The sequence below is a fragment of the Homo sapiens genome, chromosome 1 (genome assembly GCF_000001405.40).
Source record: "Homo sapiens chromosome 1, GRCh38.p14 Primary Assembly".
In the NCBI taxonomy this organism is placed as follows: domain Eukaryota; kingdom Metazoa; phylum Chordata; class Mammalia; order Primates; family Hominidae; genus Homo; species Homo sapiens.
Genome location: NC_000001.11, coordinates 172,567,098 through 172,584,712, shown reverse-complemented (window position 1 = coordinate 172,584,712; position 17,615 = coordinate 172,567,098). Strand labels below are relative to the sequence as shown.

The 17,615-nt window shown below is 34.5% G+C and overlaps 1 protein-coding gene across 8 annotated transcripts in view, besides 1 other annotated feature; it reads right to left on the bottom strand.

The window, feature by feature from the left end:
• Window positions 1–17,615, bottom strand: part of SUCO (SUN domain containing ossification factor) — a 79,485-nt gene that overhangs the window by 27,121 nt on the left and 34,749 nt on the right. For 5 of the 8 annotated variants that reach the window (XR_007060764.1, NM_014283.5, NM_001282751.2 and 2 more), the window contains 9 exons: window positions 15,571–15,694; window positions 14,542–14,666; window positions 13,983–14,050; window positions 10,715–10,822; window positions 9,090–9,195; window positions 7,154–7,174; window positions 6,894–6,949; window positions 6,324–6,415; window positions 5,446–5,511 (listed from right to left, as the gene is read on the bottom strand). Coding sequence is in view for 6 of the 8 variants with exons in the window: in NM_014283.5 (NP_055098.1) it covers window positions 5,446–5,511; window positions 6,324–6,415; window positions 6,894–6,949; window positions 7,154–7,174; window positions 9,090–9,195; window positions 10,715–10,822; window positions 13,983–14,050; window positions 14,542–14,666; window positions 15,571–15,694 (766 nt within the window). In the remaining 2 variants the exon portion in view is untranslated. The remainder of the gene's footprint in view (window positions 1–5,445; window positions 5,512–6,323; window positions 6,416–6,893; window positions 6,950–7,153; window positions 7,175–9,089; window positions 9,196–10,714; window positions 10,823–13,982; window positions 14,051–14,541; window positions 14,667–15,570; window positions 15,695–17,615) is intronic. The other 3 variants (NM_016227.4, XM_006711374.3, XM_006711376.2) reach the window with 1 other exon arrangement.
• Window positions 12,927–13,926: an enhancer, noted in NCBI's record as "H3K27ac hESC enhancer chr1:172539927-172540926 (GRCh37/hg19 assembly coordinates)". NCBI's record gives its function as "activates a minimal SCP1, AML or CMV promoter by ChIP-STARR-seq in primed H9 embryonic stem cells {active_cell/tissue: H9 hESC(primed)}" and the evidence as "EXISTENCE:reporter gene assay evidence [ECO:0000049][PMID:30033119]".

Here is a 17,615-nt window from a genome sequence, read left to right as displayed (position 1 = left end):
CAACCTCTGCCTCCCAGGTTCAAGCAATTCCCCTGCCTCAGCCTCCCGAGTAGCTGGGACTACAGGCACATGCCACCACGTCCAGCTAATTTTTTGTATTTTAGTAGAGACAGGGTTTCACTGTGTTGCCCAGGCTGCTCTCAAACTCCTGAGCTGAGGAAATCTGCCCACCTCAGCCTCTCAAAGTGCTAGGATTACAGCTGTTAGCCACCGCGCCTGGCCTTAAATATACTTTTCTTGTAAAACTTCCCTAGACACTTTACCAAAACACTGTCTTCAGCATACTATAAACTCAAGTATAACTCAACATACAGTCTGTACTGGGACAGGGAAAAAAATGTGATGACCAAAATTCTTATTTTACAGAAAAACCTATTTTTCTTTAAAAATTCTCTACAGTTTAAAATTTTAAAAAAGTGTAAAAAAGCAAATGCTTTTCCTACATTATGTGATTATCACAGGTAAAAACAAAACAGAGATTATCCAAAAAAAAGCAGAAAACATTTTCAATGATTAGCCTATCATATCTATGGTAATATGGTTAAATTCTAAATTGATATTGCATAGAATCAAATCTCTTTGATGACTTTTAAAAAACTCATTGACCAAAACAGCAATCTTTTTAAATCATAAAGCATACAAATTCTTTAGTTAATTGGCTGGGGACAGGTATGGGGCAGATTAATGAAAAGTCAAGGTCATAAAACAAAGTGTTGTAAAAAGCAATTTGCATACCTGCTAACCCTACTTCTCTTTTGAAGGAGGATATTTACATGAAAAAAGTGGTACAAACCTCAATATCTACATAGATATATTTATACATGAGCATAACAAAATATCAGAACTCCATAAAAAATGGTACTGGGAATAGAAGACCTTCCTTCCAGTAATGTGATGTAATTTCAAGTGAAATTAACTTTCATTCCCAGTCTAACCTTTGAAATTCCACTAGAAGTTAATTCTTTGGTATCAGATACTCCTACTATTAAAATACTAAGATCTGGCAGGGGCTACATATTAATCATCATACATTATTTCTGTCTTAATCTCCCTTCCTAAAGCGATCCACAGAGTATTCATCATATTTTCAATGAAAACCAGAGATGTGAAAAGTAGAAAAGGATCTAAGAGAGAAAAATCTACTACATCAGGAAGGTTGCAAGTAAACCAAAGAGTGCTGCCTGGAGCTCATCCTGTAAATATATGCTTCAGGATGGGAGAAATAGTAGCAGATTTCAAACTGCTTTAAAGTGATAGCTAGGAATCAGCCATAATGTTGATCTTCACGAAATTATGAGTGTATACGCTGAAAGTCAACAAAGCAGTGGTACTTTGTTTCTAATCATTACTGTAACACACAAAGGCTCAATATTTGCCATTTTAAAATGTTTAAATAACATTTTTAATATTGCCCTTTGACCTGGCAAACTGATAAACAGAAGTGGCCTTAATTCTTACTTAAGCTAAAGAGATGCTGCGGTATGAGATAACAAAAATGGAAACTCCGTATTCCCTCATAAACCAAGATGAAGTCTGGAATGGAAACTGTTATTTCCTCATACACCCTTTATAATGCCAACCAATACTGCAATATTATTTATGATGCCCCACCTACACTGCCACCTATAGTCAAAACTGACTGCTTCACAAAACCCAAATTGTGCAATCAACAGTTTATATACTTTGTTTCAAAGTGAGATCTTATATGAGATTTCGAATTTTTTGACATTCATTATTAAATAATTCAAGAAGATAAATGTGTTAATCTGTGTAAAGAAAGTAGCTTTACAGTATTATTTCTGAACCTAAATTTTAACACCAGTACCTACAATAAAGATCCTTCTATTCACCCTTTTAAAATATTATTTATTATCATCATTTCAGGAAACGTGGTAACAAAAGCAAAATTTAGCAAATTTCTTCTCAGCCCATTTAACCTAAAATAATTTTCCCATGTTTACAGAACACTGCCTAATGTATCTTTTTTGTCTTTTGAGAGAAAGCAGAATTGTGAATATTCTATTCTATTTTCAATTTGTATCTAAACACATGATAGTTTGTATACACCATGATTATCTGGCCATTAAAAAACTTTCAGAATAGACTAAAATGACATCTTTGAATATAATTGCCAAACTAGAGATAAATATCCCTAATTTCTCCTGGATTAGTCAACTTTTAAATTTTTGAATTGGGCAACTTATTCATCCCGCCTCATTCCTTTAGGAATAAAATGCTCCTAATATTTGGTCCTAAAGACCAAATATCTCCATATTATTTACTCAGTCTTCAGTGCTCCAATGTCTCTTTTTGATAAAGAAAACAAACATTTTTCCAGGCTGCTGAAGTTGAAGAGTTTATATAATACAACAGAAGATAAACCAACAAAAAAAGACTTCCTCCTATGTGTACTATCTCTGAAGCATGCCCACATTTTCTAGGAAAATGGTCCTTCTAGGATCTACTTTTTTTCCACAAAAAATACTTGAGAAGTAAAAACTACATTTTCTCTTCAACATGCACATGCACCTATCTCCCTTTAGCAGATAGGGTGATTTTAACAAAAACCAAAACCACATATTTAAGAGCAAAGGCAGACCTGCGCCAATATCAAAGTAGGCAGAGGTCTGGCAAATTCACATGACAAAGAACAAGAAAATCAGAGTGATATGGAGAAATCTTGCTGATGTAAAAGATTTAAATGTTTTAGTTCAAGAATGTAAACAAAAGAATCAGGAAGCCATACACACAAAGCCAAGAATGCTGCTCTAAGATAACAGCTTCTCCCTTTTTAGTAGTTAAGTAAATTATATAATATCAAGAATGTTTATGCAGTGTGGATGCTCTTTGACATCCAACTCTCAGCACAGGCAAAGTATTCTGGTGACATATTTCCTATAACTAGTAACTACTTGAGAGCAAAAAGAAAAGGAGTTTCTATTAAGATTAAAGACAATTCTAGCTTGTGGATACTATGTACACATTAAAAACAAGAAAAAAAACTAGTTTCAAAATGGGCCAATTTCAAGCTAATTTAGAAAGCAGTGATGATTATAGTCAAACTCAAGACATTCTTGTGCCAAAGACCAGTTCTTTGAATCAGAACTACTGAAGTTCTGATTCCACTTTATTATTTACTTCTTCAAGTTATACCACCTTGGAGGCTATAGCTAATTCAGTCCCAAACTTCAGAGAAGAGTAGAAGGACACAGATACAGAAGGCAGCAGTGTTAGGCCAAGTCTATAAAGTTTTATGACAATAAAGTCTTATCACTCAGCTCTTACTGCCTCTCTTGTTCTAAAACTTCAGGAGGTGGAGATCATTTTAAATCTCATTTTAGAGACTCAGCTGACATCCTCCCACCCATCTTATCTCACTGTATAAATTCTTTCAATACCTAGAACACTGGAAGATAACCTTGCCCTCCCAGAGATCTGTAAAAGGAAAATTAAGTGATATACCTTCAAGGAGAAAGATCCAAACAGAAGTATCTAAACAAGATTCTATGTCTAATTAATTGATATACTGATCAGAGACATGAATACAAACAGGGAAATGTCTTCCCCTGATATATGATTAGGTTTTTGTTTTGTTTTGTTTTGTTTTGTTTTTGAGACAGAGTCTCACTCTGTCCCCCAGGCTGGAGTGCAGTGGTGCGATCTCAACTCACAGCAACCTCCGCCTCCTGGGTTCAAGCGATTCTCCTGCGTCAGCTCTGGAGTAGCTGGGATTATAGGCGCACGCACCATGCTTGGCTAATTTTTGTATTTTTAGTAGAGATGGGGTTTCACCATGTTGGCCAGGCTGGTCTCAAACTCCTGACCTCAGGTCATCCGCCTATCTAGGCCTCCCAAAGTACTGGGATTACAAGCATGAGCCGCTGTGCCTGGCCTATGGTTAGGTTTTAATGGCATCTAGAAGTTAACCACATAGGAAGATATAGCAAGAAAATCCAGAATATCAACACACTTTTCCTTTATCTGAAACTACAATAAGACATTATTTCCTTAAGGTGTCCTCTTTTTTCCAGTACCTACCAGAAGCTAGAGATCTTTTAGTCTGGGGCTATTTTCTGACCCCATAAAATAATAATGCTTCCTCAGAGCTAATTCAACATTACTGAGCTACATAAATGGCAGAATAATGACTACTATGTAACATATAAAATGCAAATTAAGGGAAACAAAAACATTAATATCCAGACAGATAAGACATTTCTTTCACTCCTAAAAAATACATCACATAGCAGTGAATAAGACTTATTTTTATATCAATAACTAGATAGCTAGGAATCCTATTTAAAAGTAATCACTAATATCTAGAAAGTCAGAAGCCTAGCAATAAAGTAAAACAAAATATACTGAACTGATATGTAATAAAGTTGAATATTACTTTGTAATCACAAAAGATTTTCCTTCTACAGGTATTTTTAACACTCTTTTTCCCATCCCCTAAAAAGTCCACTGAGGTCTATACTCTTCTATGGAGGGGGAAGAAGGCAAGGAAGGCAAGGAAGGCAGGAAGAGAAAGAAAAGAAAGGAAAGAAAGAAAGAAAAGGCTAGAAGGAGAGATGAAAGAGGTAATTTTAACTCTATATACTGTGGCTACACAAAATATCAACCTAAGTATTTAGACTACTGGTTGAATAGCTAAAAAACTTACAAAGTCAATGTTCACAGACATCGGTATTCAACAATTCAATTCACTAAGAGCAAAAAGTGACAAGCACACGCAACTAGTCTTCGATTTTACTAAGATTTGTTTTTATTAAATTTGATTAATAATTTTCAAATAAAAAGAAAACTACTTGTAGTTAATTTTACATTTTTCAGAAATAATCAAAAACATCATTGAAATATACCTACACAGAATCTAACCATGAAAAATAAAGTGTCAGTCAGGTAATGGTCTTTCTAGTAGTCTCCTTAGTGAGCCTACCACTAGGTTGGGATTCGACTTTGGAATAACAACAAACTAAAGCACCAGTATATCTTATTCATTGTTTCTTAGTTTACAAGGAGTATATTATTACTAGTATTCTTATTGGTATTCATTATCATGATGGTAGGAGCACCCTTTATATTTTGTAACTAAATGGCAAACTAACCATACCCATAGATTAACTGTGGTATGACTGTTTTAATAATTCTTTCCCCAAGAAAATCCATAGCCCTTTCTTCACTATAAGGAATCTGTCCCAAAATGTCAGCGCCTAATTAGAGTAGAAGAAACACCTTTATTACGATTGCATTTGTCTCTCTCCTCTTTCTTTTCATATATTCTTATCGCATTTCTATAAAAATACTTTTCAAAAGACAGTATCTTTTATTTCAACTCAAAGTTCAACACTGGGAGAATTCTCCTCAACCATACCATGACAAAATGTCTGTGTGTGTCAGAATGAAAAAGTAGTAGAATGAATAGAAAATCCTCAAAATACTCACTTGTAGCAGAACCAAGAAGATTTTTTGAGGATTTATCCTCTCCAGTATTATAATCCAGTGGATAATCTGTTAAAAACGAAAATAAAAGTAATTATGCTGAGATCTAGCTCCAATGGTAACATATTTAAAAGCTCAAATTATGTCCTGTCAAAGTCAGCTGACATTTAAAACATTTTATGATAAATATGAATCATATATCTAAAACATGTTCACAAAAAGCATGTAAGATTAAGAAACCATTTAACAAACAAATATAAACCAAGGAAAATAACTGTAATGCTTACCAAAATTTTAACCACATTTATAAGACGTTTTTATTCAAGCTTTCAATATACTTTACCAACTCTTAGTCAATGTCTTCATTTCACTCTTGAGAAAATTTAGATTGTTCAAACAATAGTTTAACACATCTTAAAATAAGGACTTAAAGAGGAAATGGAGAGTGTCATAAAACTTTCCTCTAACTCTTTAGAGTCACAGGATTTCTCAATGGCTCACAGGAAGCCAAAATGTGCTTGCTCTTAGGCTCATGGGAAATCACAGGCATTAAAGCTCATTTCTACTATTTCAGTATCTTGTGAGTTTAACAGATTTTTGGCCCTGGCATAGGGATATAATCATAATTTATACCATTAATGTTATAGAAGGGAGTTTCAGTTACAAATAAGTGATAGATAAGCTTGGAAAGCAATACGAATACAAAGCAATCATATTAGAAAACAGATTTAAGTAAAAGTTGATTAGAGTTAAAAACAACAAAACAAAAGCCTGAAGACAACAGTCATATTGATTTAAGTAAGCTATACTCCCCCATTACTATTCGATTTTTAAAAAGTAAAAAAAATATACCTAACAGTCATCTGTTTGATGTCACTTACCATAGTCCTCATCAAATAGTTCCTGGCGTTCTGAGTGATACTGGGAATCAGCAATTTCTTCATATTCTTCCACCATGCTAGTGCCAAATACCCTATCAACAACAATTTCATTAAAGACTTCCAAAACAAAACACTCGTTAAGACTAATCTCTTCACAATAAATGACAAACATCAACTTTGGTCATATTTTGAGGGCCACTGGCTTTTGGACTCAAAAATAATGGCTGCTCCTTACATTTAAGTCATCTACTGTTTCAATTAAAATGTAAAACTAATCTATTTAAGGCATTTAAATGGATGAGTTTTCATATCAGTCTAAAACGTTTCTGTGTATTATCATCATAGCAAAATAGCAAGCAAGTTAAAACAAATATACAAAATGAGGTTTTTTTTTTAAAAGAGGATATTTTGACATTTTTCCAAAATGCATTCAAAAGAAAGGTTTCACAGTTTTTATTTCTATGGTATTAACTCACGTAAGAGAAAATTATTTCTTCACTTTAAATATATCGAAAATTTTGTATATCAATTTTTTTAAAAACTCAATAAATGTATTTTGTTCTGCATTACCTTATAAGGCTTAATGGACAAAAGTGCTCTGATCCAAAATGTGATAGCAACTCAACCTAAAGAATAAAAGCACATAAAATGGGAAGCCAGCAGAGAGCATGTAAGATTATCTAACAATATACTCAGTTTTTTCATTATAACATTTCTAAACATTTCTATAAAGTCCTTATTTTCCCCAAAATCAATACTTGTAAAGTTTTTGTAATGCATTAATACGCCATGCCCTGTTATTTAATAGTGCAAAAGAGAAGGTTGCTAACCTTTATGTACTTGATGAACATCTGAAGCAAGAGAAAGGAAAAGAAAAAGAAATCAGTTCCAAAGTCTAGACATCATGCAATAAGCATCTTTAAATATTTGTAAATTATGTTGTATAAAGTATAGAGAGTAATGTCATGTGATGGATAACACTGTAGTATTCTTAATTCCTTGCAGAAATAAAAGCAATGATTTAAATTTTTGCCATCACTACCTGAGAGTATAATCTAAATGATTGCAATGAAATAAATTAACTTTAAGGTTATAAGTTAACTAATCTACAAGCCATTGCTGTTATTTTATATAGCTGTTAGATAGAAAGCATTCTAAAAGCAATTAATAAACAGTATCTAGAAACAATCTTTTACTTTAAGTATTACAGACATGTATCAAGTATATATCCATATATGAATTTATATATTGATATATATGCACATATACATATATATTCTACACATATACATATTGGTAACAGTCCATTATGGAATGATATTTATACTTGTATATTATATACAACTTATTTCGGGGAAAGTATGAATTTTTGGTATGCTATGTTATTTCAAGTACAACTTACAGAAGTGGAAGATATATACCAATTGGCCTTTCGAATGTATGCTATTAAAAAGTAGTAGATTTGGGTGTAGTTATTTTAAGATAAGGAACATCCAGGTAAAAAACTTACATAACATTATTACCATAAAATGAAAATCAGAAAGTAATTTTTCTCTGCTTTTCATGAGCTGTAAGTAAATGTTTCTTGCCTTTAGACTCAATTCTACCAAAGAAGGTTTTTTATAAAACTAATATTTAAAATGCTGTATAATCTCCCACCATAAAAGGAACAAGGTGGAAAGTTTTATAAGGCATTCTTTATGTTTCCAATAAAATATCCTTCCAAAATTAAATACGATTTTATCACCTAGCAAATGATTTTTAACGTTTTTGCCTCTTCAGAGTGAAGAAAGTGTACTGTATAAAAAATTAAGTAATTGTTTCAGTACTCATTTTAGAAGGAATTGAAAACATTCCTTAATTTTTTTGAACTAATAATTTTGAATTAACTGAGAATATCAACTTTATTTTAAAAATAGAATTTAGCATTTTTATACTGAGATTAAGAATACTACAAGTTTACCTATTTATAGAAGTCAATTTAAAACATGCTTTAAAAAGAGATGGTAAAATCACAGAAGACAAAATTAGGTAGCTATAAGTTCTCACATTTAAAGAAGAAAGGATAGAAATTAGAACTGCTGCCATTCCAAAAATGTCATAATATTAATTCAATAGTACTTTAAGGTATGGCTATAATTTTAAAGAAAAAAAAGAGGAAAGGAAGGAGTAAGAATTTTCCCTATTTTGTCTAACCCAATTCAAAAGTGATAATTTTACTTAATTAGTTGGTAGAAGCAGCAGTGGAAATATAAAACACCAGTGTTTAAAACTCTATTTTATTTGCAATTGGTACTTGGACACAGAATATTTCATTTGGCTATACAAAGAAAAAGACAAAAGCTGTAACAATGCCAAATAAGTGGACGTTAAAGATGAAATGGTCTAAGAATCAGAGTCTAACAAGAAATTACATCTGCTTTAAAGACTTCAGTGACCAGCAATGATTTCAGTTTCAAAATAGAAAGAAATATACTATGAAGATGACATTTTGCATAAAGACTCAAAAAACTTAAATAGTTATAATTTGGAATTTTATCAGGGCCATAAATAACAAAAAAACTGGCCTAGGCTTCCAGCAATGCAAAAGGGAATGTAGCAATATTTGATTCATGAAATAATATACCCAAGTAAGAATTATCTATTAAGTGGTATAGTGTAGTCTATTTCTTAACTTTTCTGATTTCTAAAAAGATGAGGTGTATAAAGTGTGAATAACACGTATATTTTCATTATAGAACATAGTCCTGTATGTGTAAACATTACCTTGACATATTTTGCATACATCTGTTCATCTAAAGGGAAACTCTGTACATTCCGCTCATCTCTACCATGAAAAGTACCCAGCTTAATCCACTTATTTGTTGGATATCTAAAAAATATAAGCAATATGTTCTTTTTTAAAAATTATAAACCACATATTGAAAGGTTCTATCATATTTTCAAAATATAATTTTTTTCCTTTCCAGGTGAACACGCTGACTTAACAGTTTAATACATAAATACATACATTTAATACATTTTCTTTTCCAACTGAACTGACGGGTTTCTCTTTACCAGGAAAGAATGCCTTGAAAAATCACACCATTAACAAAAAGTAGGACCAGTACCACTTCTTGGGGTTTGGGAGGAGGTTTTATAACAGAAAGTCACCAAGAGACTGTCTTGGAAGAAGGTGGCACAGCTCTTCACATACTGACATGTGTGTAATAATGTAAAGTATAAATACAAGTACTGGTGGAAAGAGAATGGGAAGAAAAAACTTTTAAAACCACATCTGAGTTTGACATATCTATTCCCCTTTAAAGGAGACTTTGGTATTTAATATAAAAGTCTAAAACTATTATATCTGTTTACTGAAACATTATAAGAACTCCTCAAAATAATGAGCCCTCTCACCACGTTAAAAAAATACACTTTACTTATCAGAGCTGTGTATGTTCATTTGACATATAAGAAAATTGCAGCTGAGAGAAAAAGAAGTGAACTGAGCAAGGGTAGCGGCAGAATAACAGAATTCTCAAGAGGTCTTGAGAACCGATTTCAAAAACTGTATATATGCAGTGCTGAGTGTGAGGTGGAGGAAGAAACACCAAGGAAAACCCTTAATGATTAAATGACAAAATAACAGTTCCATAAAGAAACAGCATCCTACATGGCATATCGTGGACACTCAAAAAGTATTTATGAAATGATTTCACATCTCTGTTGAACAAAAAATAATGTGTACACATTAAAAATGATACGTGTAAAAGACTAAAGAGTATTTCCAGGATGTAAAAGTACATATTTTTATAGAATTAATAAATAAGTGCATAGTAAAGACTGGAAGAAATATATTAAAATGCTAATAAGGGCTATCTCTGGTTGACAAAATGCAGTTCTATTCCAAATTCCTCACAACATATATTTATTTCTTTTATAATCACACATGTACAAAAAAAGTTTTAGAATATATTTTAATAAAAATATACCTCATAAAGCACCTACACATGTATGTTTTTAACAACTTTTAAAAGAAATGTTTAGAAACAAGACAGCATAATGACTGCAAGTGAGGACTTTGAAGTCAGAGTTGTAGTTCTGAATCTTGGTTCTAAAACTCACAAGTCATGTGACCTGGGCAAGGCACTTAATCTCCCCTTTTCTGTTTCCCCACATTATAAGAGAATAATATCATATGGTTATGTTTAAAGCATATGAGCTAATGAAGGTAAAAGGTAAGTGATTAACAAGAGCCTACAATACAGTCGTATTATCGTTGTTATTACAAACTGACCTTTAAAAAATAAATGGACTGAAGTCAAAATGTGACCCACTTTTTTGTTTTTTTGTTTTTCTTTTTTTCAGAGATCCAACATAGACCCTATAGAAACAGCTTTAGAATTTACCTGTCACTGATAGAAACCAGAAAATCTTTAGGAGTAGAAGAAAATAATTCATAATTTGCAATATCAAGCTGTTTTACTTGAATTGGTTCACAAAGTTCAATAACAAACCTTCAAAAAGAACAAAAGACAATTACTTAAACCAATCAAAATAACAGTTCATATTAAATATGACATTAACAGTTTCCATAAATTAGACTACCATTAAGAGTTACTCATTAAAATGTTAAGAGGAGGGTATGTAGCCTTAGTTGTCTATAAGAAGCATCTTTAAATACTTCCCAAAGGATACCATTAGTGGGGGGAAAAGACCTGTAAATAAAACAATATTGATTTTGCTCCATCATTTTTTTTTAAAAATTCCTTTTTTAGATAACACTCATTCTTGGAGAAGGGATGACTTTCTTAAGAACAGACAGTGATAGTGTAAAATGACTAGTCTAGAGGATAGTTTGGCATATACATTGTCTTAAAAAGTTATCATAGTCTTCGATTTAGTTCTTAGAAATTTATCTTAAGGATTCAAGGCTTCAGATGTCCACCTTTGTATATATATTTTGCTATATCGAAGTACACACAGTCTATAAGGGCAGGGGGGGAAATCAAGTTAAATATTTAGCAAAGAGAATTAACAAATTATGGTTCATCCAGACAATGAAATACTAAGCAGCCATTAAAACTGGTACCAGAAACTATCATTTCATTTACATAAAAAATCTAGAGACTGTAAACTAATTTATAGTAACAGAAAGCAGATCTGTAATTGCTGTGGGGGAAGAGAGTTTGAGAGAAATTACAAAGAGGTATGATGAAACTTTTGGGAATGATGGATATGTTTGTTATCTTTATTGTGGTGATGGCTTCAGATACATAAATGTCAAAACTTACCAAATTATACACTTTGACATGTAGTTTATTATACATGCAATTTATTGTATGTCAACTATACCCCAATAAAGCTGTTTTTTTTTAAAATGATGCTAAGATTTACATTTATTAACATGGAAAGATGCCAAAAATATTGCTGCTTAGGAAAAAATTAAAAGCATGGTTCCATGTGCATAATATAAAACTGCATATAGCATGGCATTGGCGGAAAATAAATACCCATGACATGTAACACTCTGGGTATACACAGCACTGGATGGCCTACTTATAGATAAACGAATGCTCCAGGCTTATGTTCCACCCCTACTCTCATTGTATCTTTCTTCTTGTAATATCTAACAGTCACCCAGAAGAAACATACTCCTTTTTAGCACTGCCCCCTTATTCTTTTTTTTTTTTTTTTTTTTTTTTTTTTTTATTGATCATTCTTGGGTGTTTCTCACAGAGGGGGATTTGGCAGGGTCATAGGACAATAGTGGAGGGAGGGTCAGCAGATAAACAAATGAACAAAGGTCTCTGGTTTTCCTATGCAGAGGACCCTGCGGCCTTCCGCAGTGTTTGTGTCCCTGGGTACTTGAGATTAGGGAGTGGTGATGACTCTTAATGAGCATGCTGCCTTCAAGCATCTGTTTAACAAAGCACATCTTGCACCACCCTTAATCCATTTAACCCTGAGTGGACACAGCACATGTTTCAGGGAGCACAGGGTTGGGGGTAGGGTCACCGATCAACAGGATCACAAGGCAGAAGAATTTTTCTTAGTACAGAACAAAATGAAAAGTCTCCCGTGTCTACCTCTTTCCACACAGACATGGCAACCATCCGATTTCTCAATCCTTTCCCCGCCCTTCCCCCCTTTCTATTCCACAAAACCACCATTGTCATCATGGTCCGTTCTCAATGAGCTGTTGGGTACACCTCCCAAACGGGGTGGTGGCTGGGTAGAGGGGCTCCTCACTTCCCAGTAGGGGCGGCCGGGCAGAGGCGCCCCTCACCTCCCGGACCGGGTGGCTTGCCAGGCGGGGGCTGACCCCCCACCTCCCTCCCGGACGGGGCGGCTGGCCGGGCGGGGGGCTGACCCCCCCACCTCCCTCCCGGACGGGGCGGCTGGCCGGGCGGGGGGCTGACCCCCCCACCTCCCTCCCATTACGGGCGGCTGGCCGGGCATGGGGCTCACCCCCCCACCTTCCTTCCAGGATTGGGGTGGCTCCCGGGCAGAGACGCTCCTAACTTCCCCAAACGGGGGGGCTGCGGGCCGGACGGGCTCCTAATTTTTCGGCCGGGGCGGTGCCCGGGCGGGGGTTCTCCTCACTTCTCGAACAGGGCGGCTGGGCAGAGACGTTCCTCAACTCCCAGACGGGGTCGCGCCCGGGTAGAGGCGCTCCTCACATCCCAGACGGGGCGGCGGGGCAGAGGCGCTCCCCACATCTCAGACGATGGGCGGCCGGGCAGAGAAGCTCCTCACTTCATAGATGGGATGGCGGCAGGGAAGAGGCGCTCCTCACTTCCTAGATGGGATGGCGGCCGGGCAGAGACGCTCCTCACTTTCCAGACTGGGCAGCCAGGCAGAGGGGCTCCTCACGTCCCAGACGATGGGCGGCCAGGCAGAGACTCTCCTCACTTCCCAGACGGGGTGGCGGCCGGGCACAGGCTGCAATCTTGGCACTTTGGGAGGCCAAGGCAGGCGGCTGGGAGGTGGAGGTTGTAGCGAGCCGAGATCAGGCCACTGCACTCCAGCCTGGGCACCATTGAGCACTGAGTGAACCAGACTCCGTCTGCAATCCCGGCACCTCGGGAGGCCGAGGCTGGCGGATCACTCGCAGTTAGGAGCTGGAGACCAGCCCGGCCAACACAGCGAAACCCCGTCTCCACCAAAAAAATACGAAAACCAGTCAGGCGTGGTGGCGCGCGCCTGCAATCGCAGGCACTCCGCAGGCTGAGGCAGGAGAATCAGGCAGGGAGGCTGCAGTGTGCCGAGATGGCAGCAGTACCCCCCTTATTCTTACAGTTCCTGAATACCTCTGCCTCATTCATCTGCCACTTCCTATTAATCCTTCAAGATTCAGCTCAGGAATTACCTCTTCCAGGAAGCCTTCTCTCATCTCCTCTTGCAGTTACGCATCATCACTCTTTCAATAACACCCTTTCAACAGTACTTTTTATACCATTTCATAATTGTTTAACCAGATCTGCCATTTTTTGCTTTTTGTGACCTCCTCAAAAGGAAAGGAAGGCATTTTGTCCTCAGTTTTGCATAGTATCAGCACTAATCAATCATAAAAGCTTATTAAATTATTATATGTCAATGTAACCCTAATGTAAAAGCTTAACATAATATGCATATATATGTAGAATGTACTTTTTAAAATTGTGTATAACTCACCAAATTTTAGTGCTGCAAGGATTCAACATGTAAAGATCCATATTTTCTATAAGAATAGCAGATGTGCTCTATTTTAAAAAGAGGAAAGGAAACAAATTACTTAAGGAATAATGAAGAAAGTATTTATTTTAACTTTAAAGTTTTCTGGGACTTCTGTATTTTTAGATCTTAAGTACACCTAAGACTTTAAAACACTCACTTGGGAAAAAAGCATAAAAGTGGCTAAGATTCACCATTCACGGCAACAGCATTAAATTAGTGTTACAATGATACATTTAAAATTCAATGCCTGTTACTTTAAAGAAAAAAATAATATTTTAGTTATTTCCTTTTTAAAATTTCATACGGGTTTTAAAAGTTAAAAAATGCAGGGCAAAATACATCAGCCAATATAAGTAAGAATTCATACAAGATAATGTTTTGAAAAGTATATTCTGCTTTTATTAGTGAATAAGGAAAATATCTCACATTAAAATATAGTTCCCAGTAAACAAATAACCTGTATTTTAAAAAGTCGTTAATTTCCTATATATACAAAATTTTATATTTAAACACCTACCTTGGCTTCTGGATTAGCTGCTAGAATTTTGGCACCACATTCTACTGAGGCATAATTATTTCGATTTTTCTGGACCTTTTTGGTGGCATGTGAACCTCCATTAGAAGATGCATGCATCGACTGACCTGCAGACAAACCGTTATTATAAATATTTATATATATATTTGATGATTATGACTGAAAATACCTCTAGCAACACTGATCTCCAAAGCAATAAGCTGTCTTCTAGAAAAGAATAGGTTTTAACACTTGAGAGAATATTTTAAAAATTCATAAAAAAATCAAAGTGCTCCACCTCAATAGCTTAAAATATCCCCCCAAAACAAATTAACTACAAAATTCTACATTACTTATGTCTAAGTAACATAACTCACAAAATGAAGCTTGTCCATGAGAATCAAAGCTTTCTGTATTTATATCTATTATAAACATCTATTAAGGATGTATTTCTTACATTATTTTATTGTTTTTTTTTTAAGCTCTGGGGTACACACGCAAGATGTGCAGGTTTGTTACATAGGTAAACATGTGCCATGGTGGTGTGCTGCACCTAATAACCCATCACACAGGGAATAAATTATAATTTTAGTCACCCTCCTCTGCCTCATAACATAAGCAAGCTTTTCTTTAGGTATGTTCTTGAAACATCATATGTAAAACACCTTTTGGTAAGTTAAAGAATATTTTAAACCCAAGGATTTTATGCAAGTTCTTTTTGAGTTCCATATGAATTTTAAAATAGTTTCCATGCCTCAATTTTCCTCGTATTGTGATGAAAATCACTGCTATGCCTTATTTTATGCTCACTTAATAATTTACAAGAATGGATTTTAATTAAAACTAAAACTGTATGTAATTATATACAGGTACATGATGGATGGATGGATCAACAGCAACTTGGTTAAGTTTCACCTTTAAAAAGTTTTCAAAAGTAAATTTTATTTTGTTTTACCAATCAAAAAAAGAAAGCATATTAAACTACACCATATACTTAAAAAAAAAATTTAAAGAACTCAAATACTTCCTTACTTTTTTCTTTTTCTACTTCCATAACTTTCTTCTTCCATTCATCAAATGTTGGTATATCTTCTGGATCTTTGGGACTTGCTACTGATGTAGGGTCAATGTCTCCTGGTTTTGTATAATCAGAGCTCTGAAAGAAACACCAAAAAGTAAGAAGACTTCAACTTTCAAATAATACAAATAAATTTTAGAAATAAATACAAATGTTTCTGTCAAATTAAAGTTCCAATTTATAATGAATGATTATATTTTGAAAAAATAAAAAACGTAAAAAGAAAGGTTTTGGTTTACTTAAAAGTTGAATTTCTCTTGAGATAATTTAAACATTCTTTTTAGGATGTGTTCCTTCACTTGTTAAGTGATATAAGCATAGGTCGTTGAAAAAAATAATTTATAAAACTCTAAAGCAAACAATTACTCATATATAGCCTGTACAAATGAATAAATTGTATACTTGCCATGCATCCACCTTAAAATATAAGTTAATACATCCATTAAAGGAAGCTAGATAATTTTAGATGTTTTAATATTATTTCCACAATATCCTTAAAAAGAAACACTGTGTACACAAAAATTTTAAGGCAAATTAAAAATTCTAAATGTGAAAAAACAAAACTTTACATTTTAGAAGAAAATTTAAAAATCTTTATAAATCATGTTAATAAGATGCAGAATGCATAAATCATTTTTAAAAGCTGATACATTTGGTTAGGTTAACCATAAATGACATGGACGAATAAGTCACACACTGAGAGAAGTATCTGCAATACATTCAGTCAACAAAGAATTATTATTAAGTATAAAGAGTATCAGCAAATCAAATAAGGGGATGGGGTGGGTGGGAAGCAAAGAATAAAATCAATAAATTTGTAAAAAGAAATACAATTTCAGTAATAATCATGGAATCCAAATGAAAGCCTGAGATATCATATAAATCAGTGGTCCACAACTTTTCTGAAACCAGGGACCAGTTTCATGGAAAACAGTTTTCCCATGGATGGGGCAGGGAGATGGTTTTGGGATGAACTGTTCCACCTTAGATCATAAGGCATTAGATTCTCATAAGGAGTGCACAACCTAGATCCCTCACATGTGCAGTTCACAATAGGGTTCACACTCATATAAGATTCTAATGCCACCACTGATATGACAGGAGGCAGAATTCAGGCGATAATGCTTGCTTACCTGCTGCTCACCACCTGTCGTGCGCCTGGTTCCTAACAGGCCATGGACTGGTGCTGGTCTGTGGCCTGGGGGTTGGGGCATGCTGACATAAATTATACAAATCTAATGGAGTTTAAAGTGTGATAGTCTGTGGCCAAGTGTGAAATATCTGTTGAGCCAAGAGAAATCTATGCTAAAAGGAGTTTAAAATTTAACAATATTAAGATGTGCATAATCCCTAAATACACCCCATGTATAAATCTAAGTGAAAACACTCATGTGTGTCCAAAAGATATGCATAAGAATGTTCATTAGAGCATTGCTTTTAATACCAAAAATAATAACCTAAATATCCATTAAATGAGGAATGGATGAACTGCAGTAGTCACTATAAACAGAGCAGTGGAAACAATGAACAAATCTCAAAACAATGTTGAATAAAATGTTACTTAAGAATGTCATTTATATTAAACTATGCCATATAATATATATTATTTATACTTATTTGAAAAGCTCTAAAACTAAACAAAAAAAATACTAAATTCAAGACAGTGGTTATATCTGAAGACAAGAGAAGGAATACTGAGGAAGGGCATCCAATCTTGTGACTTTTTTTCCTCTTAAACTGAATAATGAATACAGACATTTATTCCATTATTGAATCATTTCTGTATTCCTAAAACAAAGTTTTGATGTGTTCACTAACACTATATTGAGAAGTGTACAAAATCTATTAGATAGGAAACTCTGGTAAACAATATAAGTCTCATTTAGTTTATATTTGCTACATAAGAGCATGCTTTTGAGCACTAACATGAAATATCCATAACTTCTGGGACTATTTCTTCTTTTCTTCAAAGGAAGTAGAGCCATTTCCAAACCTCCCT